General features: G+C 37.7%; 1 protein-coding gene and 1 long non-coding RNA gene across 53 annotated transcripts in view; one reads left to right on the top strand and one right to left on the bottom strand.

Moving 5' to 3' along the window:
• The window catches only part of MYO9A-AS1 (MYO9A antisense RNA 1), a 64,558-nt gene extending 51,426 nt beyond the window's left edge, over positions 1-13,132 (bottom strand). For all 3 annotated transcript variants that reach the window (XR_001751798.3, XR_007064705.1, XR_001751797.2), the window contains exon 1: positions 13,022-13,132. This is a non-coding gene — a long non-coding RNA (MYO9A antisense RNA 1). The remainder of the gene's footprint in view (positions 1-13,021) is intronic.
• Positions 1-27,298, top strand: part of MYO9A (myosin IXA) — a 296,310-nt gene that overhangs the window by 133,262 nt on the left and 135,750 nt on the right. For all 50 annotated transcript variants that reach the window (XM_047432576.1, XM_047432553.1, XM_047432585.1 and 47 more), the window contains 3 exons: positions 7,047-7,168; positions 17,214-17,355; positions 25,243-25,438. In XM_047432576.1, the coding sequence (XP_047288532.1) occupies positions 7,047-7,168; positions 17,214-17,355; positions 25,243-25,438 (460 nt within the window). The remainder of the gene's footprint in view (positions 1-7,046; positions 7,169-17,213; positions 17,356-25,242; positions 25,439-27,298) is intronic.

Below are 27,298 nucleotides of genomic sequence, written 5' to 3'. Positions count from 1 at the left end.
TATAATTTTTCATATACAGGATCTAACACTCAGTCCAAAACAGAGAGAGAGAGAGACAGACAGAGACATAAAGACATACATGGAGGCAAACCAGCATGAATAAAAACCACGAGAAATGTGGCCGGGCATGGTGGCTCACGTCTGTAATCCCAGCACTTTAGGGGGCTGAGGCAGGTGGATCACTTGAGGTCAGGAGTTCAAGACCAGCCTGGTCAACATGGTGAAACCCCATCTTTACTAAAAATACAAAAATTAGCTGGGCTTGGTGGCACATGCCTGTAATCCCAGCTATACAAGAGGCTGAGGGAGGAGAATTGCTTGAACCCAGGAGGCGGAGGTTGCAGTGAGCTGAGTTTGTACCACTGCACTGCAGCCTGAGTGACAGAGTGAGATTGCGTCTCAACAACAACAACAAAATATCCCAAGAGAAATGAGATAATAATACCACAGTGGATCCAGCCAATGATATTAGCACTAGACATGGACTGGAAACTAACCATGCTTTCAAGAAATTTTAAAAAATAAGGTGCAATATTTTTATTAAAGAACTACAAATTACTTTTAAAAATCCCAAATTGGGGAAAACCTAGAACTAAAAAGTACTGTGAAATTGAAAAGACACAGATGGTTTTTAATAGTAAGATACAGGTTAGTAAAATTAGTAAATTGGAAGATAGACCAGAAGAAAATACTGAGCCTAATGAATGAAGATAAGAAAGAGACTTATACTCTAAGAGCATAGTAAAAAGGTCTAACATGTGCCATAGGAATTTTGGAAAGATGTGTATGAGAGACGTAGAATAAGTTAGAAGCCGTGTTTGAAGACATAATGGTTGAGAATGTTCCAAAACTGTCAAAACAAAAAAACAAACCCAACAAGCATACATTTGAAAAGCTCTTTAAGAATCCAAGGCATGTTAAATACAAAGATATTTATACCTAGAAAATTATACTAAACCAAAGACAATGAAAAAAGTCTAAAAAGCAGCTAGAGGAAACCAGAGACTACAGTTGCTCCTTGCCAAGCTGAAAATATTTTAAGTCAAAAATGCATTTAATGCATCTAAACTACCAAGCATCATAACTTGACATAGCCTACCTTAAATGTGCAGGACATTAAATGTGCTCAGAACACTTACATTAGCCTACAGTTGGGCAAAATCATCTAACACAATACCTATTTTATAGTAAAAATGTTGAATATCTCATGTACCACATATCACCAGCCTAGGCAAAGATAAAGTCTGCAGAAATTATGACAGTTTCACCCCATTGTAAAGTTGAATCATCGTAAGTCAGGGACATCTCTATCTTTAAAGATACAACAATAAGACTTGGCAGTCAGCCTTTCAGTGGAAATAGTGGAAGCTAGGAGACAATGGCATATTTTCCTTAAAACCAAGGTATATTGTTTAGGCAGCAAGTTGTTTCCTATTGTAGCTCAGGTACAGGAAGGAATGAAGAGCAATGAAAATTATAAAAAAGTCGTTGAATCTAAATGAATATTAATGAGGCAAAGTTAAAAATAACTTTTATGGCTTAAATAGAACTATTTAGGCTGGGCGTGGTGGCTCACGCCTGTAATCCCAGCACTTTGGGAGGCTGAGGCAGGTGGATCACCTGAGGTCAGGAGTGTGAGACCAGCCTGGCCAACATGGTGAAACCCCGACTCTACTAAAACTACAAAAATTAGCAGGGCGTGGTGGCAGCCGCCTGCAATCCCAGCTACTCAGGAGGCTGAGGCAGGAGAATTGCTTGTAGCTGGGAAGGGTTCGCGGAAGTTCCAGTGAGCTGAGATCACGCTATTGCACTCCATCCTGGGTGACAGAGCGAGACTCCATCTCAAAAAAAAAAAAAAAAAAAAAAAAGAAATAAAAAAAATAAAAAACTATTTAATGTTTAAATGTAACTAAAATACATGACAGTAATAGCATATAAGTTAGGAGTAAATAGAATTTAAGATACTCTAAGATCTTTGTATTAAATGCTAAGTTACAGAGATATTATTTCTGTTAGTGATAAGTTAAGGATACATGTTTTCTAGAATTGCCAAAAATAGTAAAATAATATAAAACTTGAAAAAAAATACAGAGGATAAGTAAAATAAGAACACTCAATCCAGAAGAAAGCAAGAAATAAAAGGAATGCCATGAAAGTCAAAGAACAAGTAGTAAGGTGTTTGATTTAATCTCACAAATATTAGTGATTACATTAAATATAATTGATTCATTGCTCTAACTAGAAGCTAAAGATTGTCAGACTAGATATAATACAAAACTAAACTGATTGTTGCTTATGAGAGACATTTTAAATATAAGTATATAGAAAGATTAAAAGGATGAGCAAAGATTTAGTAAACCTTAAGAAAAAAAGCAGTTGTAGCTATATTAATATCATATTTCAAGCATTACTAGAGATAAAAAGGAATATTTAATAATGTTACCCTTTAGCATTATTCACTTCCTTGGGAAGTAGTATACAGTCCAAAATTTATAAGCACCTGATAGCAGAACCTCAAAATATATAAAGCAATAATGAATAAAACTCAAAAAAGAAAAATATATTTACCATCATAGTGGAATGTTTTAACATACCATGCTGACTTGCTGATAGAATAAGTGTTCAAAAAGTTGGTAAGGATACAGAAGATTTAAAATATCTAGAAGATGAGATTAGTGCCTTTGTGGGCATCCATCACTGACTGTCCTTCAGAGCAGAATGTCAGTTTCCTGCCCTTAGGCCTGAAACCTAATCAATTAAGGATATAGAAGATTTAAAAATCAAATATATAACTGATATGCATAGAACACTGCATCAACAGCTGCAGAATGCACTTTTTTTTCAAGTTTGCGTGGGATATTTACAAAATTTGTTTATATCCTGGACCATAAAGCGAAAGTCAGATTTCCAAGGATTGAAATGACACAGATTTTAATACCATAATAAAATTATACCTGAAATCAGTAACTAAAAAATAACTGAAAAATACCTATATGATTAAAAATTAAGAAATATTCTAGGCTGGGCACGGTGGCTCACGCCTGTAATCCCAGCACTTTGGGAGGCTGAGGTGGGCAGATCACGAGGTCAGGATATCGAGACCATCCTGGCTAACACGGTGAAACCCCGTCTTTACTAAAAATACAAAAAAGTTAGCCAGGCATGGTGGCAGGCCCCTGTAGTCCCAGCTACTCAGGAGGGTGAGGCAGGAGAATGGTGTGAACCCGCGAGGCGGAGCTTGCAGTGAGCTGAGATTGGGCCACTGCACTCCAGCCTGGGCGACAGAGTGAGACTCTGTCCCAAAAAAAAAAAAAAAAAAAAAAAAAAAAAAAATTCTAAATAGGCTAGAGGTTGAACAATTAGAAAATATATTGTACCTAATGACACGTTACATATTAAAACTATGGGAAATGCCTAAAGCTATACTTAGAAGAACATTTCATAGCTCTTAGAAGATTTTTGTTTAAAATCAGTGATCCCTGTCAACAGTTGGGAAAAAGATCAGCAAACTAAACCAGAGGAAAGTAGAGAAAATGAAATAATAGAGATAAAAGAGGAAATTAATAAAAGTGTGAAAACAAATATACCATGGGAGAGGATCAACCAAACCAAAAGTAATACTTTGAAAGGGCTAATAATATTGATGAACCCCTCAAGGAATTCATCTGAGAGAGAGAGAGAGAGAGAGAGAGAGAGACAAGACAGAGAGAGGGATATAAATAACCAAAATCCCAGTGATAGAGGGTATTACTCTGGATCCTACACATATTAAAAAGATAGACACACTGAATAACTTTATGTTAATAGACTTGTCAAATGATACGAACAAAAGAGCTTTTCAAAACTGACATAGAAGAAATAGAAAATCTGTTTCTATAACTATTAATGACATTGAATATGTAATTTAAAACCTTTCCCTGAAGAACATTGCAAGCCATGGTGGCTCCACGGGTAAATTATACCAACATGGAAAGAAGAAAGAGTGTCAGTCTGACATAAGCTGTTAGGTGGAATAGAAAAAAGGACAATTCTCAGTACATTTTAGGGGGCCAGGATAACAATGATACACACATCTGTTAAGGATATTAGAAGTGGAAATTATAGGTCAGTTTCACTCATAAACACAGATACAAAAATTCTAAACAAACATTAATAAAATCCATCAATATGTACAAAAGGATAATACATTGTAACCAAAGGGAGATTTTTTTTTCAGCATGTGCTTTACATTTAACTGAATCAAGCCATTTAATCATCTGTTAATAAATAAGGAGAAAACACAGTTATCTCGAGATATATAAAAAGCAGTTGATAAAACTGTGTAGCTATTCCTTTTTTTCTTTTAAACTAGGAGTAGAAAATGATTTTCTGATAAAGGACATCTACAAAATACAGCTAATATCTTATTGAATGAAAAAGACTGAGTGCTTTTCCTCTGAGACTAAGAACAAGGCAATAATGTTTTCCGAGAGTTTTGCTTGTTTGTTTGTTTTTTGTTTTTAAGACAGAGTCTCGCTCTGCAGCCCAGGGTGGAGTGCAGTGGCGCAATCATAGCTCACTGCAGACTTGATCTCCTGGGCTCAAGAGGTCGTCTTGCCTCAGCCTCCCAAGTAGCTGGGACTACAGGTGCATACCACCATGCTCAGCTAATTTTTTTCTTTATTTTTGTAGAGTCAGGGTCTCAATATGTTGTCCTGGTTAGTCTCAAACTCATGGCCTCAAGTGATCTTCCCAGCTAGGCCTCCCAAAGCATTGGAATTACAGATGTGAGACACTGTGCCCAGCCAAGAGTTTTTATCATGAATACAAGCACGTCATACAAGGGGAAATCCAAATGAGCAGTAAACATAGGAAAATGTTTTTTCTTTGTTATTCATCAGGGAAATCAAAGCTAAAATCACAATGAGCTACTAGTAGGCATTCACCGAAATGACTAAAATGAAAAAGACAGACAATACGAGTATTGGAGAGATATGTCTATAGGGACATACGCTGGGGTGGGTATGTAAATTGCCACAACCACATCAGAATGCTGTTTGGCATTATCTGCTGTGGTTAAACATGTAGTTTATAATCCTGTGTTTTCACTCAAAGATAAGTATAAATGCACACCAAAAGTTTTGTGTGGAAATGGTCATAAGACGTTATTTTTAATGACCAAATATTAGAATTAAGAGCAGTGTCTATCAGTAGTAGAGTGGGGCTTGACTTGTGCCTATAATCCCAGTGTTGTGGGAGGATTGCTTGAGATTGCTTGAGGCCAGGAGTTCGAGACCAGCCTGGGCAACAAAGAGAGATCCTGTCTCTTAAAAAAAAAGAAAAAAGTAGAATGGGTGAACAAGTTATTGTATACAGATACAATGGAATACTCTACAGCAGTGATTCTCAAAGTTTATTCCTTCTCTCTCCTCAATAATAGCATCAGCATCACCTGGAACCTTTTTAGAAATGAAAATTCTAAGTACTCTATACCTACTTAAGCAGAAATTCTGGGGATGGAGTCCCAATACTCTTGTTTTTTAACAAGCCGTTCTTGTGATTCCGTTGTATGTTAAAGTTTTAGAACTAATGCTTTGTAGCAGAGTTTGGCACACTTTTTCTATAAGGGCCAGATCTTTTAAGGCTTTTTGGGCCATATGTCTCAACTCAGCTGTTACATTGACAAAGTAGCCATAGACAATATGTAGCTGAGTGATTGTGTTGTTTCACAATGCAATTAAAATGAATGAACTTCAGGTACATCCAACAAAATGGTTGTGTCTCTGAAACATTAGCTGAATGAAAAAAGAAAAGAGACAAAATGAGTATGTGTTATGTGATTCCATTTAGATACTATTTATAAATAGGGGAATCTTATTGATTGTATTAGAAGCTGACTTTGGGTAGGAGGGTTTGGATAGTCCTTGGGAAGAGATAATGAGGAGGACTTTTGGACTTCTAGTAATGCCTATAAAAATCATTAAGCTCATACTATCTAGTGTGTATATTTTTCATGCTGCAAAAAATTGGGGGGAAATACCTTTCTTACTGCCATTGGGGAGTGACCTTTATATGACTATTTCTTATGTGTGAAATTGTTAATTAAAAGAAAAGAATTAAGTATTTACCTTTCCTAGTTAGAGTAACTATAGTTTATGTTAGTGTTCATTCTTCTTTACTGGATAATAATGAATACAGAAAGAATGATGGAATTTCAAAATCAAAAAGAACAACAAAAAAGAATTTCAAAATCACTATTTGCAGATTGGCAGTTGACTTGTGCTGCAAGTACTGTAAGTGAATGCTAAAACAATTAGGTACATGGGATATTTTACCTGATGCCTAAATACCACTGCAGTGCAGAAACATATCTCCTTTACATTCTCAGGTGCATTTTTTCCTTAAAAAAACCATCTAAAAAGTGAAAGTATCACAAGGATGAATAGAAGAATATATCTCCATACAGGAAAGAATAAGAAAAAATGGAGCGCTTTGTAAGATGATTTTAAGTAGTTACTCAAGACCTGAACCTCGAGTTTTTTAACCTTAGAATTCAAAACCTTTTCTTTAAAAAAAAAAAAAGTCCTAAAGATTATATTTTGCCAAAGTTTAGTGTGTATGAATTCCATATAATTACTGGAGGGTGATGGGGTCCCACTTTTCCCAGAAATTGTTTCATTAAATTCATTGTTGATAATCCAGGAAATATAGTGCTTTTTGATGGCTTAAAGTCATGTGGGAGATATTAGCCTTTTTTCTTCATTGTACGTTTTTACTTAGTGGAGTCATCAGGTAGTGAGACTAAAACAAATCTAGCCCTACATTTTGATTAGAATGAACTTAGAACTGGCATTCTAACAAAAAAAATTTGTGGCATGTCTTTTTAAGAGAAAACAAATACGTTGTATTAAGATTTGTACAACTGAAATTATACATTCTTTCATTGTGTGGATTGGTGATTTTTAAAATCTTAGAATTTTAAGCAGGGTAAAAGCTTTTCAATCTATATTATATACCTATTTTCTGCAAGATGAATAAATTGTTATTTTATTTTTTGGTTTTTCTAGGAGGAATATAGAACTGAAGGTATCAGCTGGCACAACATAGATTACATTGATAATACCTGCTGCATAAATCTTATTAGCAAAAAACCAACAGGACTGCTTCATCTTTTGGATGAAGAAAGCAAGTGAGTGTGATTCTTTTCAATTTTGTTATTGGCTGTTTTGGCTTTTTATCTCCTTTTAAGTTTAAACTTTTTTCTTACATTACCAAATAAAGAGCCAAATTTTTTTTGTACAATTTATTTTTTTATTTATTTTTGAGACGGAGTCTTGATCTGTCACCCAGGCTGGAGTGCATTGGCCCCATCTCGGCTCATTGCAACCTCCACCTCCTGGGTTCACGCCATTCTCCTGCCTTAGCCTCCAAAGTAGCTGGGACTACAGGTGCCCGCCACCATGCCTGGCTAATTTTTTGTATTTTTAGTACAGACGGGGTTTCACCGTGTTAGCCAGGATGGTCTCGATCGCCTGACCTCATGATCCACCTGCCTTGGCCTCCCAAAGTGCTGGGATTACAGGCGTGAGCCACCGCGTGTGGCCACAATTTTTTTTTATATCTGTGTGTTTCTAGGTAATTAGGATGGGCTTCATTACTTGAATTCATTTTTTTCTTAAGTTCTTCTAGATTTATTCAATACACCTTGATGTCAAACTTGTTGACTTTTTTTTTTGGTTACATGTTTCTTTCTTTGTAAATTGAGCTTCATGTATGAGATGTGTTTGTAGTTTTCATGTTTAGCAGAAAAGAATATCGTGATAGGCCAAACGTGGTGGCTTATGTCTGTAATCTCAACACTTTGGGATGCCAAGGCGGGAGGAGCACTTGAGGCCAGGAGTTCGAGACCAGCCTGGCCAACATGGTGAAATCTTGTCTGTGCTGAAAATATGAAAATTAGCTGGGCATAGTAGTGCAGGCCTGTAATCCCAGCTACTTAGGAGGCTGAGGCATGAGAACCGCTTGAACCCAGGAGGCAGAGGTTGCAGTGAGCCGAGATGGCGCCAATGCACTATAGTCCAGCCTGGGCGACAGAGCAAGACTTTGTCTCCAAAAAAACAAAACAGAAAAAAGAATGTTATGGTAAATTAGTAATGTCTGCCATGATCGTGCAGTGTAAGTGGCAACATCTGCCAGTTATTTACTATTCCTTGATAACACTGTTCAATATAACTGAGTTAAATATATGCTTCAGAAATAATGCTTTATGTAGCATTCTTCAGAGTATTCTCAACAATGTATAAAATACAGTTGATTATCCTAAGAGATGGCAAATCTAGATTTGGAGAAACTGAGATGAGGTGGTTGTGAGGTTTTTATGACTGTTTAGTAAAAAATTTAGAAATTGAATTTATTTACCTGATTTCTAGTTTAATATTCATTAGACAAGATAGAAAGTATTGAGGATTTACTATTAGAGGTAAGATGATTGTGTAAGGTGGTAGAATAAAAAGCTAACAGAAAGAAGACTGCTAACAGTTTAGTGTCACTCTGACCTACTCTATCACTAGTCAACTTCCATTAATCTAAAGAAATTAAAATGCTGTTAACACAAGTAAAAAGTACCTTAATTTTCTGTCCAGAGTTTTGTAAAAGTTTCTTGCATTACTCTATATGCCCCAACATAATTATTGTCTCTCATAAAATTGTAAGGTTTGTAATTCACTGTTTGTATACCCTACCTCTGGTATATGTTTATTTGGGAAGGCTTTATAGGTGATTTTGATATTCCGTGTTGAGAACCGTTGTGGTTGATAATGGAATGATTAGCATTTCTTTTTGTTTGGGGAATTTTATAGTAACAAAAGAAAGTTTAAGAAACAATCCAAGAAAAAAGATTATATAGGTAGGAAATGGAGGACCTGAGAGTCAAACCTGTCAAGTATTTCTGACTAATAAGCTTGTGCTTTGAAGTATTATATTGCTTCCCTGTAATATTTAGGTGTTAGAGTCAGAAGTCCAGGACTTGTATCCCATTTCTATAACTACTGTTACAGAAAAACTCTCAAACTGTGTTTTTCCTTTACTCTAACACCACAGTAATCAACACAGAAGACTTCTGTGACCAAATGTGTGGGGTTTTTTCCCCACTAATAAGCAGTGGACACCAGCTGGGTATCCTCTATTCAGATTTGACACTGTCTACCTGGAGGTAGTATCAGATCCCACAGATCGAGGGCTCAGTCCCCAAAACTGCACCTCACCCCACCTTCAGACCCCCGCCTGTAATCCATGCCTCCAGAACTTCTGACCAACCAGGTTCTCCTTGAGTTCAATTAATTTGCCCGAGCAGCTTGCAGAACTCAGGGAAAACGAAACAATGAGGAGCTGCGTAGGACGAGGTGTGGGGGAAGGAGCACAGAGCCTCCATGTCCTCCCTGGGTGTACCACCCTCCAGGAACTCCCACATGTTCAGCTATTCAGAATCTCTCTGAATGCTCTTTTTTGGGGTTTTTATGGAGGCTTCATTACATAGGCATTACTGACAACTGTGTAGAAATGTGATTGGACAAAAAGAGTATGATCTCATACTAATAGACTGAGTGAGAAACCCAGTAAGGCCTGTTTGTCTAGATTCTTCTTGGCCTCTCTGTGCAGCATTCTTTCCTTCAGAGTATGGGGCAGGACCCTTTCTGGAATGAGGATCTTTTGATTCACAATCAGATTAGAGACCTGCCTTGGGCAGGTAAAAGGAAGACAGGAGGTTAGAGAGAAAGATTCTGTTTCCTGAGGCTTGCTCCTGTGACCTGCTCCTGAGACCTAAAGCACTCCTGTGACCTGCTCCTGAGACCTAAAGCACCCCAACATTATAACAAAAGACTACACCAAGGGCTGTGGTAGTTAATAAGTCAGGAACCATGGACGAAAACCTACACACACACACACACACACACACACACACACACACACGATAAAATCACGTCATAGGCCAAAGGGCTGTGGTAGTTAATAAGTCAGGAACCATGGACGAAAACCTACACACACACACACACACACGATAAAATCATGTCATAGGCCACGCCCTGGCTTTCAAACATGGATCCTTTACATCATCAAAAGAATATACAACTCAAACATACTGCTACATTACTAGAATCCCATTCAGTCATTAGTAATTAGTCCAGTTCATTATCATGTTGTATGAATATGTCTCCCAGGGAGAGACCACTCAAGTTTGCAGGCTTCCTTTCAGTCTTGTCAGATTCCAGAAGCAGGAGCAGTCTCCGCAAACATACAACTTTTACCTTTTGAGCATCTCTTATAACTGAGTTAAAGACAGTGTCATCTCTTGCTCTGAGCTTCTTTAAATGTGTTAATGTAATGTTGGATTTCCCTCAATGAATAACCCATTTATTCCTGTCTTTACCCTCAGCTGCTATTCCTCCTCTCCAGTAGTTCCCAAACTTTTCCTCCTTTGGAAGGCACATTAAGAATTGCCACTGTGCTGGTTTAGATTGCAGACAACAACTCTAGTCTAGCAAGTACCTCCTCCTCAGTCCACTCCCCTTTAGATAGGGTAAATTACATGGGTGCAGAACTAGTGAGCTGTTTTTATGGCCAGGAAAAGTAGTAGTTGCATTCACTCTTAGCCCCAATTTTGCTAGATAGAGTGAAGGTACAACCCACCCCCATTATGCCCTTAGGAATTTTGACTTAAGGTTTAAAAATGTAGTTACAGTTTCTTGCTTAGAAATCATCCCTGCTTCCAGCACTTGCAGTTGCAGCCCTTGTCCTAGGACCACTGCATCTGGTAGCGGAGAGAAAAAAAGTTTTTTCTTTTTGAGGTCATCTGGGGAAGAAAAAAATTATAGTTGTTATACCAGTGTACTCCTCCCTTGGGAAGAATTGGATAGTCATACCAGCACCTTCCCCAACCGCCTCTTTCCCAGATGAACCAGAAAAACAAGAAAAATCTAAGGGGATGCTCCTTTAGTCCCACTCATGTTGAATGTGAGCACACACTCGTGAAAGCATGCAAGCCAGCCCTTCATTCTTTTATCTTCCTGTGTTTTAGACAACCAGTGTTTTAATTGCCCATCCTACTCCTTCATCAAACTGTTACTCTGAGGAGGATTTTTTTTTCCTCTTTGTTGGACATGGTAGGCTGTACAATGTGTTTCTCGTTCTGAAAAGATGATGATTGTCCAAATCCATGCGATATTTTCTGTTTTTTGGTTTTTGTTTGTTTGTTTGTTTTTTAAATGGCACTCTGAGCATTTGCATCTTCCACTGGGTAAGGAAAGCTCACTTCAGAGTCGGTGACTATTCCTGTCAAGACCCATTCATTTGTAGCCCCCCAGGGCTACCAGCATCAGTCTCACTTACCTTCTACATTCAGGGTCTTCCCACTAAGGAAACTGCCACATAGCCATTGGAAGTCTCAGACTCTCTTGCTGACAAAAAGAACAGTTCTTATTGGCATTTTGTGCTTGAGAGAAGGTGTAAGAGGAATGTCTAGATTTAGCGCTTCTCAGCACTGCTGTAGTACCCCCATATCTGCTCATTTCATGGACCTATGTAGAAGGGACCCCCTTAACTACAGCATTTACTGTAACCTCGTAAGTAGATAACAGACACATTCATTGGGCGAATATCCTTATCATCATAAAGCTAGTCTTACGTAGCTTGCATATGAAGCATATCAGCTGCTTCATCTGGGTTGTTCTGCTTGGCATTTCTAGGGAAAGTTGGGCAATCCCCCTTTCCAGAGTAAAAAGATCATACAGTGGCTTTTATCCAGTCCACTATGCTGGCTGTTGCCTTGGGAATAACGTCCTGTGTGTCTCAATCATGTATAGATGTCTGAGATTGCTTAGTAGTGAGCCCTGTGTCCTACATCAACCCAAACATGTTTTCCACGGTAGCATTTAAACCAAAGCTACTGCCCCTAATGTAGTTACTCTCATAATCCATTTTAGTAAAGGTTCTTTAGGAAGCTAATGATACCAATCTACAAAATGGAACTATTCCTTCACACTATGCAAATTAATTGAACTCAAGGAGAAGCTGGTTGGTCAGAAGTTCTGGAGGCATGAATTATTGGCTGGTGTCTGAAGGTGGGGTGGGGTGCAGTTACTTCGTTTTGCCCTTTTTCCACATTGACTACCTTCTTGGTAACCACATGTCTCAGAGGTACTTTGTTGCCCCTGCACAATTCTGTCCTTGGAGGGTGGCTTTGAGGCCAGCAGCCTGAGCTCAAACAGACCAAGATCTGAGGTTTATCCAGCTTCAAGGACCAACACAGTACTCTCTTTAAATTTCATTTTAGCTATTATAAATAACAATAATTAAGGGATTATTTATTTATAATAGCTAGTTTTATGGCTATTTATTTATAACAGCCAGTTCATTTTTTTTCTTATTAGTTTGCATTTCCTTATGCAGCCAGTGAACCAATTCCCCAGGAGTTGGAACCATCTCTAAATTCCACTGATAACTTTTACCTTTAATAACCGAGCATAGCAGCTATGGCTTCATACCTTGGGTGACCATGTGGCCACACCAGAACAAAGGTTTCTCATCTTCTACCCTTTTATCCTTTTTCTTCCCAAACCACATGTTTCAGTGAGCCAGGGCCTTTTTAGCAAATCTCACTTCTCTGACACCAGTTATTTGGGAAAAACATTAAAACCATGTTTTCCTCTGCTCTCACACCATAACAATCAACATGAAGACATCTGTGACCAAACGTTTGTGGGGTTTTCCCCACCAGCAAGCAGTGGACACCAACTGGGTGTCCTCTAATTCAAATTTGATACTATCTACCTGGAAGTAGCATCAGATCCCACAGATCGAGGACTCAGTCCCCAAAACTGCACCCCACCCCACCTTCAAACACCAGTCAATAATCTACTCTTCCAGAACTTCTGACCAACCAGCTTCTCCTTGAGTTCAATTAATTTGCTGGAGTGGCTTGCAGAACTTGGGGAAACACTTACTTACATTTACCCCAGTATATTATAAAGGATATTGCAAAGGATACAATGAAGAGATGTGTAGGGCAAGGTATGGGGGAAGGAGTAGAGAGTCTCCATGTCCTTCCTGGGCACTCTACCTTCCAGGAGCACCCATATGTTCGGCTATCTGGAAGCTCTCTAAGTGCTGTCCTTTTGGGTTTTTATGGAGGCTTCATTACATAGGCACTATTGACCCTGTGTAGAAATGTGATTGGACAAAAGAACATGATCTCATGAGTGGGAAACCCAGCAAGGCCTGTCTGTCCAGATTCTTCCTGGCTTCTTGTGCAGCATTTTTTCTTTCAGAATATGGGGAGGGACCCTTTCTGGAATGAGGGTCTTTTAACCGGCAATCATATTAGAGGCCTCCCTTGGGCAGGTAAAAGGAGGACAGAAGAAGGTTAGAGAGAGAGATTCTGTTTCCTGAGGCCTGCTCCTGAGGCCTAAAGCACCCCAACATTATAACAAAAGACTACACCAAGGGCTGCAGGAGTTATGAGCCAGGAACCGTGGATGAAAACCTATATATATAAAAATAAATATATATATTTATTTATTTATAATATCACAACTGTATATATCAAAACTACCCTTGGCAGATCTCATAATATCCTTAGTCCTCAGTTTTCTTGTATGCAGAAGGCAAATGACAATGGTACATGATGATGTTCCGTCCTATATATCTTAAGGTGTTTGTAAACAGCAACTGAGGTAGTAGAATTACTTTGTTTTTTTTTTTTCTTTTTTTTTCTTTTTTTTTGAGACAGTGTCTAGCTCTGTAGCTCAGGCTGGAATGCCGTGGTGCGGTTATGGCTTACTGAAGCCTTGAATTTATGGGCTCGAGTGATCTCGCCTCAGCCTCCTGAGTAGCTGGGACTACAGGCACATACCACCACGTCTGGCTAATTTTAAAATGTTGTTTTAGAGACAAGGAGTCAACTTTGTTGCCCAGGCTGGTCTCAAACTCCTGGGCTCAAGCTGTCCTCCTACCTTAGCCTCCCAAAGTGCTGGGATTACATATGAGAATCACTGTGCCTGTCCTGTCCTGTCATTCTTTAAACAAAATTTCATTGAATGCACATCTTATTATACAAAGACTATAATTTCCTGACCAGTTGCTACTTCACATAGATTTAACCCAATAATGAGAATGTCACTTCTTTTTTTTTTTTTAATTTTTTCTGATACGGAGTCTCGCTCTGTCGCCCAGGCTGGAGTGCAGCGGCACGATCTCAGCTCACTGCAAGCTCTGCTTCCCGGGTTAATGCCATTCTGCTGCCTCAGCCTCCCGAGCAGCTGGGACTACAGGCGCCCGCCCCCATGCCCGGCTAATTTTTTTGTGTTTTTTCAGTAGAGATGGGGTTTCACTGTGTTAGCCAGGATGGTCTCGACCTCCTGACCTTGTGATCCACCCGCCTCAGCCTCCCAAATTGCTGGGATTACAGGTGTGAGCCACTGCGCCCGGCCGAGAATGTCACTTATTTGCTGTTACCCGAAAGCTACGAGGGTTGAGCCATGTGGCCATAAATATCAGGGAGATAAATTCTGGCTCAATAAAATGAAGAACTTTATAATTATTAGAGCTGATTGGCAGCTGCTTTAACAATTAATGTAATTTCCTATTATTATAATTACTTTGCATCATCTGTCAGCGTATTGTTGTAGGTAGGATACTGGACTGAATAACCTTTTTATGAGTCAGTCCTGTAGTTATTACCTGTCCTTGTAAAGAATTTCTGTGCTTTAACATTCCAGAAGATGCAAAGGCATGAAATATTTTTTTCTCTCCCATTTACCTGTAAAAAAACTAGATTGAAAATAAATTAGTCACATGTAGGAAGAACTATTTTGGGACTTACATTGAGTATTTTTTCTCTAAAAATATTTTTTATAGGGAATATATAATGTCAAATATATCCTTAGTTGTGTTCTTCATGCAGTGTGTTTGTAGTGCTCTAGGTGTATGGGTTTAGAATCAGAGGTCTTGGTTTAGCCTTTCCTACTTAATGGCTGTATGTTATGGGGCAGGTTACTTTAGCTAGATTCTGTAGGATGTAGGGTGGCATTTAGGAAGGAGGAATATTGTATCAGAGTTACATATGAATAGGATGTTAGGAATAGTATCAATCTTCCCATAGTATTCAAAGTGTCATCTTCTATCAGCAGCAGTGGACCACTTTGATTCTTGTTAGAAATGTAGAATCTCAAGCTTTCATTCCAGATCTGTTGAATCAGAATCTACATTTTAACAACCGAAGTTAGGATTAGAGCATTCATTTAAGGCAGCATTTTGTGAATCTTGCCTGCTCATGAGAATTACCTTGGGACTTTGTAAATACCACTGATGCTAGGTCATCTCCCTAATCATTTAAGTCAGAATTGCAATAGTTGGGATCCAGGCATTGGTAGTTTTCAAATCTCTAGAGGTTCTCCTGACGCTACCCTTCCAGATAGTGTTTGAGGAACACTAGATGAAGAGCTTTGATATGAGCAATAATGAATGATTTTCTTGTGTTCCAAATTTTTTTTTTTGCCTGGTAATGTAATAAGTATCCATACATGTCTGTTGAATGCAGGAACTTTCCATCTTTTTTAGTTTCAAGTAATGACTGTTTTCATGTCTATCTTCCTTCCTTTGAAAATTTCTATTATCCATTTAAAAGTAAGAGAAAGTATATCATAAGCTTTTCAATTACTCAGATGATTAGAAGGCAAATAAACCCTGACCTAGAGACGACGAAGTGAGCATCCTGCCTTAAGAGAGGCACACTGCTGTGAAGTAGTGAGATATAAGTTTGCAGAGGTTGAGCTGGCCTATGCTTTGGAGCTTGGAATCAAGTCTTTTTGCCTTGGTGATCTATACATTTCGGAGCAGAGGGGGCACATGATTAAAGCACTATTATAGGAAAATTTATTTTGATAATATGCTTTGGTGACTTGAAAGAAGATTGGTGAGACTGTTATAGGAGCTGTGCTGTTGTCTCTGTTTGAAATAGTAAGTTATATTCCATTGTAAAATGGCTTTAAAGTTTTGGAGTGAGCTAGATGGTAGAGATGTTTTGAGGAAGAGATATTTGAATACAAAAGCAGGTCAAGGTGACCAAGAAAATATCAGTGTTGGCAACATGAAGTCGATGTTTGTTTAATCCCTAGAGGATGCCTGCGGTTGCCAGATGTTTTTACTAGTTTTATTTAATTCTACTGGCACTGTGATAACTGGTATCTCATTTTGTGGGTTAGAAGACCCCTTCTCAAAGAAGGTTACCTAGTTTGCCCCAGGTCACTGATAGAATGCGTAATGTAAACTATGATTATCTGATGCTAAAGGCCATTCTCTGTATGGTTTGCAATGCATACTATGTAATTAACTATGTTTGTTGTAATTTTGGAATGATTTTTACACATTAGATTTGTATTAAGCAACTTTACAACCTCATGTCACATTATTTTTCATTATTTCAGCTACCATTAAATGAAGCTATTTTCTGAAACTTTCTTTCTCCTTTTTCTGTCAATGATATTTTCTCTCTTTGAAACCCTTCCCAACCTTTAACATCACAGTCTTAACACCTACTATGTCCTGTGTGAACTTTTTCATTATTTACACCAGTGATGATTTTTTTCCTCTTTTGAACTTTTGTATTTCCATATTTCCTATTATGCGATTAAATAATAGATATTATTTGTGTGATTCCTGGATATTAAGTGCTCAGTTGATCAGTACAATCAATGAGTACAAATAATTGGTATAGTAAGAAAATGGCTACTTATTTATGCATGTAGGAACAGGAAGTCAAATAATTCTTATGGATTTTTAGTACCTATGAGAATCGAGATATTATTCTCTTATTTGGAAGTTGTTGGCCCCAAAGAGTATATGATTTGGATTTTATTTTCCTTTGGGTTTTATAGTAGTTCAGAACACTGCAATCTAAGCTAAATATGTAATGAGTTAATTTCTTGGTACTACTACTTGCAAAATATGAGTACAGGCAAATCATAACTTTTGATCCCTCATCTATAAAATAGTAACACCAATATTTATTATTACTTTTTAGCTTGTTATGAGAATCAGGTTAGATAATATAGGTGAAAACTTTTGTAAACTGCTATGTAAGATGGCAATGTAATTGTAATGTACTTTGAAAAGGGCTGTACTAATTACCGCATCTTTCTCATCTTTCTGTAATGATATTTTTTCTTTTTTTTTTAATTCAGCTTTCCACAGGCTACAAATCAAACATTGCTAGACAAGTTTAAGCATCAACATGAAGATAATTCTTACATCGAATTTCCAGCCGTGATGGAGCCTGCTTTCATTATAAAACATTATGCTGGAAAAGTAAAATATGGGGTAAAGGTCAGTAAATTTCTCACTGAATATGCTTACAGGGCAGAGATGTGTTCTTAACTGTCCCCAGCACACTGCCCTCTTTGTAGTTTGTGGAGGCTTTTGATCAGTAATAACTGGAGATATTGTATAAAGATACTACTAAAACTTAGATTCTGCTTTTCAGCACATTACTGTCTTAGGTAAGGTAATGTTTCTGTTGGTTTCTGCCTGGAGATAAACCTGATGTTGTCAGTTGATCCTGATAAACTTTAGATCTGAAAGAATAGATTGCATCTGTATATCCCAAACTCACTTGTTTATGCACATAATTTGTTGAATTTTTCCCTTCTCTGCACTCATAAGGTCTTCATGTCTCTGTTCACCATTAGGGATTTGTCAGTTCGTACTTTTCATGAATATATTGAAACTCTTATGTGGAGTGGAATCTTAATAATGTTGTCCATTTCTTGTGTAATTTGTGAGTCTGTTATTCTTTAACTACTTGATGTTTAAGCCTGCTATTTCAGGCATTTAATTTCCCAGGTAAGGCAGCTGATGATATGGAGAATAGTGGAATTAAATGTTTTCTCCTGGGTCTTGAGTCGAGTGTCTTAAGATCATTTATTCATCCATTTATTGATTTATTTAAGAAGTATTTGTTGAACACAGAACATGTGTCAGACTTTGTGCTTGGTGTTTGGAATGATCTAATGATAAACTAGACAGATGTAGTCCTGATTCTCTATACATATGTGCATATATACATATTGTGTGTGCATATATATATGTGTGTGTATCTATTTGTATAACATAGATAAATGGGCTATGTGTTATAAATAAGTTAATGGGTCCTATGAGAGAAAGTAGTAAAATAGTGGATTTTGAATTTGTGAATACATGAACACTTCTCTAAGAAACTTAAATTTTGAGAGATGACCTGAAATAAATGTTACCTTGATGAGGAGTTCGGATGATGAATATTATAGGCCAGGAGATAGGAGTTTGATATGGTGAAATAATTGAAAACAGGTAAGTGCTACTAGATTATAATGAACTAAGGAGAGTAACATGAAATGAACTTAGAGAATAGACAGGGGGTTATTATTTAGGGCTTGTAAGCCAAGTTGAGTTTGGCTTTTATCCAAATTAGTGGCACTGTGATAATATTTTAAGCAGAGGATACGACTTGTGTTTTTAAAAGATTGCATTGATTACCTTGAGGAGAAGGGATAGCAGAGGGTAAGAGTGGAATCTGGAAGATCAGTTAAGTCACTTTTTTTTAAATTGAAGTGAAATCTTAAGGTAAACTGAAGCACTGGAGTGGCAGTAGAGGTTGGGGGGGATCCAGATGATTATGAGATGTATTTCTGGCGGTAAACCATCCACAGACTTTATTGATGGACTCTAAATGAGTAAGTGACCTCTGGCTAGAGCTGATGGGTGCTTTGGAGGTACCATTTCCTAAGATGGAAAATACTGGAAGGAATGGATTTTAGAATAGAAATTAAGACTATAGTTTAAAAAGTAAAACAAAAGCTTGAGCTATAGAAAAACTTGAGGATATTGTGCATAAAGTGCACAAATAAAGTGTTTAGATTTCTTTTATACCCCTTCCCAGCCAGCTCCCCTCAGAGATTACCACTGCCCTAATTTTTATCATTCTTAATTTTACTTTTAATTAAATTTCAGATAAATAGAATCATACACACACACACACACACACACACACACACACACACACACACTTGCCTGGGATATTCATCTGCGTTATCAGATAGGTTGAAAGTAAAAAGATGGAGAAAGGATAAAAGCTGGTGTATATTATTTCTGGACAGGCTGGGCATGGTGGCTCACGCCTGTAATCCCAGCACTTTGGGAGGCTGAGATGGGTGGATCATCTGAGGTCATAAGTCTGAGACTAGCCTGGTCAACGTGGTGAAACCTCATCTCTACTAAAAATACAAAAATTAGCCAGGCATGGTGGTGCACGCCTGTAATCCCAGCTACTGAGGAGGGTGAGATAGGACAAGTGCTTGAACCTGGGAGGAGGAGGTTGCATTGAGCCGAGATAGTGCCATTTCACTCCAGCCTGAGAAAGAGAGTGAGACTCTGTCTCCAAAAAAAAAAAATTGTAGGACAAAATAGACTTTAAGACCAGAAATATTACTAGAGATACAAAGGGACATTTTATAATGATAAAAGGGGCCAGTTCAACAGGAAGACGTAATCACTAAATGTTTTTGGGGTTTTTGTTTGTTTGTTTGTTTTGAGACGGAGTCTCGCTTCGCTCTTTTGCCAGGCTGAAGTGAAGTGGTGTGATCTCGACTCACTGCAACCTCCGCCCTCCAGGTTTAAGCGATTCTCTGCCTCCTGAGTAGCTGGGATCAGAGGCGTACTCCACCACGCCCAGCGAATTTTTGTATTTTTACTAGAGATGGGGTTTCACTATGTTGGCCAGGCTGGTCTCGAACATCTGACCTCAGTTGATCCACCCTCCTCGGCCTCCCAAAGTGCTAGGATTACAGGCATGAGCCACTTGATATTATATGTAGCTAATGACTGATTTAAAATATATAAAGCAAAAGGAAAGCAAAAGTAGACCTAGATAAGTGCACCATCATAATTGTAGATTTTTTTCTTCAATATTTTTCTAAGGAAAAAGAAAAAAACTTAAAAAAGAAAAAATTATAGATTTTAACACATTTCTGTTAGTAACTAACAGAACAAGCAACACAAAATCAATACAAATAGCACTGTTAAATAGGTGACCTAATTAGCACATCATAAGGATAACTTAGAAAATCATTGGATATTTAGAAACTAAGCAAAACTCTTCTGAATAACCCATGAGTCAAAAAAGAAATGACAATATAAATTACTTATAATAAATTATTAAAATTATAATATTTTATACTGAACATTAATGAAATCCAGCCTATCAGAAACTTGTAGGATACAGTTAAAGCAAGGAATGTAGGAAAGTTTATAACTTTAAATACATATGTTGGAAAGGAAGAAAAGTTGAAAAGTGGTTATCTAAACTTTTTTTTTTTTTGAGACAAGAGTCTTGTTTTATCACCCAGGCTGGAGTGCAGTGGTGCGATCTTGGCGTACTGCAACCACCACCACCTGGGTTCAAGCAATTCTCGTTCCTCAGCCTCCCAAGTAGCTAGGACTACAGGCTTGTGCCACCATGCCTGGCTAATTTTTTTGTTTTTGTTTTTTGAGATGGAGTCTCACTCTGTCACCCGGCTGGAATGCAGTGGCGCGATCTCGGCTCACTGCAACCTCTGCCTCCCGGGTTCAAGTGATTCTCCTGCCTCAGCCTCCTGAGTAGCTGGGACTACAGGCACATGCCACCACGCCCAGCTAATTTTTTTTTTTTTTTTTTTTAGTAGAGATGGGGTGTCACCATGTTGGCCAGGATGGTCTCAATTTCTTCACCTCGTGATCCGCCAGCCTTGACCTCCCAAAGTGCTGGGATTACAGATGTGAGCCATCGCGCCCAGCCAGTTTTTGTATTTTTGGTAGAGATGGGGTTTCGCCATGTTGGCTAGGCTGGTCTCAAACTCCTGGCCCCAAGTGATCTGCTCACCTCAGTCTCCCAGAGTGCTGGGATTACAGGTGTGAGCCACCATGCTTGATTGAAAAGTGGTTCTCTAAGCTTCTATGTGAGAAACTAGGAAAAGAGAAATCACACTCAAAGGAATTAGAGAAAGGGTATAAAAATAAGACCAGAAATCAGTGCAATATAAAGCAGACATTGAACAAAGAAATCAACTAAGCCAAAAGTTAGTTCCTTGAGAAGATAACACAAAATAATATAAATTAAATGCAATAGGAAAATAACTGATAATATAAAAAAAATTATAGATTACAGATACCAGGAATGAAAAAAGAACTTTACTACATAACCTACAGATATTAGAAGGATATGCATATATTTTGTCAGGAAATTTGAAAACAAAAAATGGATAAATTCCATTAAAAAACACTTTACCAAAACTAACACCAGAATAAATAGAAAAACCTGAAAATTCTGTTGGCTAAATAATTTGAATCAGTAGTTCAGAACTTTTCCACAGAGGAAATCCCAGGCCCACATGGTTTTACTAGTGAATGCTTCCAAACATTTAAATGTACTACTGGTCTTACACATTTTCTTTCAAATTAGACATATCCTTTAAGATTTGTTAATGGATCTCAAGAAATAATAAGAAAGATCTGATCTGGAAATTTGCATTTGGGCGATGGTGTTAATTTAAAGTCATAACTTCACGCCTGTAATCCCAGCACTTTGGGAGGCCAAGGCAGGCAGATCACCTGAGGTCAGGAGTTCGAGACCAGCTTGATCAACATGAAGAAACCCTGTCTCTACTAAAAAAATAGAAAATTAGCCAGGCGTGGTGGCGTGTATGCCTGTAATCCCAGCTACTCAGGAGGCTGAGGCAGGACAATTGCTTGAACCCAGGAGGTGGAGGTTGCGGTGAGCCAAGATCAAGCCATTGCACTCCAGCCTGAGCAACAAGAGCGAAACTCTGTCTCTAAATACATAAAATAAAATAAAGTCGTAACTCTGGTTCTGATCACTTGATATAAGAGGGTTGAGTGAAGAAATGAGTGCACAGCCAGGTGTGGTGGCTCACTCCTGTAATCCCAGCACTTTGGGAGGCCGAGGTGGGTGGATCACTTAAGTCCTGGAGTTCGAGATCAGCCTGGGGAACATGGGAAGGCCTAGTGTCTACACAGAATACCAATGGTTAGCTGGGCATGGTGGTGTGTGCCTGTAGTCCCAGCTACTTGGGAGGCAGAGGGGTAGAATTCACTTGAGCCCGGGAGGCAGAGGTTGCAGTGAATTGAGATGGTGCCACTGCACTCCAGCCTGGGCAACAGAACAAGACCCTGTCTCAAAAAACAAACAAACCAAAAAAAGAGAAATGAGTACACACTGTTAAACCCACCCTTGAATTTCCAATATGAACTAGCAATGAGGACTTAGAAGGGCAGTATAGGAGGTAAATGGTAAACCACAAAGTATGTTCTTGTGGAAACTAGAGAGAGATTTTGAAGAAGAATGATATGGTCAGTTGATAATGTACTTAGAAATCTAGAAATATGAAGACAGATTATTTCATTTTGAAAATGAAGGTCACTGGTCACTCTCAACACTTGACAGTCAGCATTGAAAAGAATCCTAGGTTTTTAGGTTGTACAGTGTAGTTATTAATAGGAGTAGGGCAGACTGGTGTTTCAGTTTCTGCACTGGTACTTATTGTCTCTTTGACCTTTGGCAAGCTGCTTTACCTTTCTGTTTACTTATCAGTAAATTATGGCTTATGACTAAATCTGCTTTATTGAGTAGTTGTTAGAACTGGGTAAAAATAAGTTACGTAAAATACATTAAGTTCATGCCTCACAGCTTGTCTGCCATCAGTAGTTATTAGCTGCTGATTATGGTGTCAGAGGTTATTTGGATTTGAGTACTCTTATTCAGTTTTTCTAATTTTCTTTTATAATACATACGTTTGCTCTAAGGGTATGTAAGGACAAGCCAAGGACCAAAATTCCTGGCTTGTTTCCTGTTTTTCCTTGTTCTCAGGAGAATAAAGAAGAATTAGGAAAGGAAAACCCTAAAAGTAATAGGATAAGTGCAAGCTGACTTCTGTACATGAGGATAGATGACATGATACTAGGTATGTTTCTCATAGAATTCTGAGTTAGAGATATTCTATGAAGCTGTACCAACTTGGAGCGATTTACTTACCAAATTTTTAATCCTTCCATTTGGTAAGATTATAGTCAATGCCTATGCTGTAATATCAGGCTGGGCCCTTGTTCCCAGAGTGGAAGCTTACTCTCCCCATTTATTTATGGTGCATTTTAACCCATTTTCTTATGTTCTAGCTCCTCCAACCTCTGTTCTTTGGTAGATGGTTGTCCCTGCCTATTTACAATCCTTCTTATTCAGTTTTAAAAATCTGTGTGCTGGCTGGGCACAATGGCTTACACCTGTAATTCCAGCATTTTGGGAGGCTGAGGTGGGGGAATTACTTGAGGCCAGGAGTTCAAGACCAGCCTGGGCAACATGGCAAGACTCTGTCTCTACAAAAATAATGAAAAAAAATTAGCCAGACGTGGTGATGCACATCTGTACTCACAGGTACACGGAAGGCTGAGGCAGGGGATTGCCTGAGTCCAGGAGTTAACAAGCTGCAGTGAGCTATGATGGTGCCAACTGCACTGTATTGAAGAGCGAGACCTTGTTTAAAAAAAAAAATCTATATGGTGATAATAACCAAATATAATTTCTGAAATCTCCCTAGCACTCCAGACTCACACATCCATTTGGTTATGAGTGAATGTTTTTGAGCCCTTGCTCTTCCACTTATTGTGTGATAGGAGCCAAGATATTTCACCTCTCTCTGATTCAGTTTTCTCATCTATAAAATGAGAGTAGTAATATCTATCTGAAAGGATTATTAGGAGTATTAAATGAGATTACATGAGACAATACATGTAAAATACTTAGAAGAGTGCCAGACACATACTAACCTCTCAAGTGTTACCTACTATTATTATCCTCACTGGCCCAAACTTCACTTGGAAAAAACTGATCTCTTGGTCTTCATTTCTTATCCTCATAACTTTCCTTTCTCTAGTCTTCTCCTTATCAGTATATGGCATCTCCATCCACTAAATACCCAACCCCAAAATGTAAGTTTTAACCTGATTTCCTCATTTTCTCATCATACCCTAATTAATCAGCAGGTTTTTTGCCTTTACATGTCCCAAATATAGCTATTTTTTATTTCTGCTGTTACAACTGACCAAGTCCAAGTTACTAGCAGTTCTTACCTGGTTTACTCTAATATTGTGCCTCCTTTTTTCCATTCTTTCTTTGAATAATTCATTTCCTATGCAGCAACCAATGTATAAGACACCAGTTAGCTCATGTTGTTACCTTTCCAGGGCTTTCCTTTATACTTGAATAAAATCTGAACAAACAACTGAAGTTCAGAGTCTAAATAGCCTATTTATTTATCTAATCTTCCACACTTTCTCCTTGTCCCCAGTGCTCCAGCCTGTGGTTTTTATCCTTTTTCTCCTAACTTGTCCAGCTTATCATCATCTATAGGTTATAGGTGTTACCCTTGCTTGCTCTTCCCAGTTTTCTCATCTCTGGCTTCTTTTTGTTATTCAGCTCTCCTGTTGCTGTATGTGATACCTCTTTGGAGAGGCTGTCCCTGACCAGAGTTTAACAAGCTGCTATAAAATTATAGAATATTTATTCTAACTTACATGTATTATAGAAATCAATAGTTTTAGGATTGGATGAGACCTTATAGAAGATACCCGGTCCAGTTAGCTACCTGGAGCAGACATTTCTTCTATCTCATTGTTCAACCACTGTTCAAACATGTCACTTGGGTTAGTCCATTCTTATGTTTCTATAAAGAAACACCTATGGCTGGGCAACTTATAAAGAAAAGAGATTTAATTGGCTCACGATTCTTCAGGCTGTACAGGAAGCAGAGCACTGATATCTACCTGGCTTCTGGTGAAGCCTCAGAGAGCTTTTACTTGTGGTGGAAGGCAAAGTGGAAGCACATGTGTCACATGGCAAGAGAGAGGGAACGAGATGGAGAAGTAGGAGTGCCACACTTTTAAATAACCAGATTTTGGTGAATTCAGAACAAAAACTCATTCATTACTTTGAAGAGAGCCCCAATCCATTCATGAGGGATCTGCCTCCATGACCCAAACACCTCCTACCAGGCCCCATCTCCACCATGGGGGAATCACATTTCAATATGAGGTTTGGAGGGACAAGCATCCAAAGTATGTTATCACCCGTCATCTTGTTTTTCATAATTTTTTTTTCCCATAAGTAACACTGGTACTTTTTTCATATAGGATTTCCGGGAAAAAAATACAGATCATATGCGCCCAGACATTGTAGCTCTTCTGAGAAGCAGCAAGAATGCATTTATCTCTGGGATGATTGGAATTGATCCTGTAGCTGTTTTCCGATGGGCAATTCTCCGAGCTTTTTTCAGAGCCATGGTTGCTTTCAGGGAAGCTGGGAAAAGAAACATTCACAGAAAAACTGGTAAGTAGTAGTTATTAGTATTCTACCATACTTCATCTTTTTTTTTTTTTTTACCTTTCTACTTCTCCACAAAAAGGAGTAGAATTCTTGCTATGAGATTCTCAAGGACAAAAATCCTGCTTCTGTAGTCAATCTAGTGTCATCTCTTAACTGATTTGTGACTATGAACAGTTTTTCTTTTCTGTAAAAGAGTTATACTGCCTTTAAAATAATGAGGATAAAGTCAGAGCATCTGTTCATGAAGTGTTCATTTTCTTTTCCTTTACTCTTAGTTCATGGATTTTTAAAAACTTTGAAATTTAGAAATAGATAAAGCAGGATACTTTTTCTGTATGCCTCCCCCTTCAATCATAAAATCTCTCATCTCATTTTCTGTGGGAGGGCAACTTCATAAGCACTTTTGGCCTACTGGAAACCAAACTATTGTTTGCTGTAGCTCTAGTCTTAGATAGGGCCATTGCTGCATAGAGAAGATTTTGTGATACATATGCAGTTGAGATTTATGCCTTTCAGTAGAAATGTTATAGGGCTCACCTGTGCTTTCAGGACTCCCAAAGTGATTTACGTGGCTTTTTGGGATGTGCACTAGTAGTAAAACTTTTAAGTTTAGCTTTTAAATGTTTGAGACAAATAGATATATTTGAGAGAGTGTATTTCTAAAAATACATGTAAAATAATTGAACCTAGTTTCCATTTTTTAGATTGTAAAGTATTTGAACTGGTCTTTGTAGATGTATAGGGAGAATTATAGTTTATTAGAGAAATAAAAGGACTATCTCAAACCTGCTTTGCCTTTTACAAAGTGATTTCTAAGAGGTTATCTTTGTAAAAAGCTTTAAGGAAAATTTTTTTTCTTTAAGATGCTTTCTTGTTTATTATGACAAACTTCTAATCAAGAAAACCACTCAAAATTGATTAGCATCCTGCTAAGACATAATTGAGTAAGAGAAGAAACTTTTCTTGTATTTACTGTCAAAGCCTATTTACTTTATTCACATTATCTGTATATTCCTTTGGCATTTAAAATCTATTATTTGTGAAAGCTAGTTGTTACATATCTGTTATTATCAATATCGGCAATGACATGCAATGTTATTAATGATAAACAACCTGTATTTTCTCTACCTTGATAAAGTCTAGATTCCTTATTTTCTAATCTTGTTTTCCCTTCTGGCTAGTACAGAGCTTCCATATAATAATCTCTTTTTGAAAATTTGTATTCAACATAACATGCATATACAAAAGTACACAAAGCAAAAATGTATAGTTCAGTGGAGTACCACAAAGTAAACACAACCCTGGAACTACCACCTAGGTTAAGAAACACAACATTCCAGCCACCCAAAATTTCTCCTTGGAAAAAACTTTAAAATTTTTACTTTTTATAAAGGAAAAGAAAAACTCTAGTTTGTTTGCATTTTGAAGCCTGAGCAGATTTGTTTCCGAAAGTAATTGTTTATATTACAATATATCAGTGTCAATGCCAGCATTCACCCTAACGTTTTATTTTCTCCACACCGCTTCCTACCTACTCTCTTTTGGTAGGTTTAGGATAAAAACATATTATAAAGTTGGAACATTGTATCACTGTAAAAACTAACAGATTGTAAAAATGGTTTAAATGGTAGATCCAGAATTTTTATAATGACCGTAAATATTATGCAGTCATATTAAGATGAAATAGGAATTACAGATTAAGACGAAGTAGAAAATATGAAAGGCAGAAAAGGTGAGGTGACCAATTCTAGATGTTGGATATGAGAATAAGAGGGCAAAGATAATACTTTCTAAAGAAGAAAGAAGATGAAATCTGCAGAATTACAGTATGTTTTTATTTCCTTTGATGATATCTTAATTAAA

The sequence above is a fragment of the Homo sapiens genome, chromosome 15, assembly GCF_000001405.40.
Source record: "Homo sapiens chromosome 15, GRCh38.p14 Primary Assembly".
In the NCBI taxonomy this organism is placed as follows: domain Eukaryota; kingdom Metazoa; phylum Chordata; class Mammalia; order Primates; family Hominidae; genus Homo; species Homo sapiens.
This window is presented reverse-complemented; position numbering and strand designations above follow the sequence as displayed.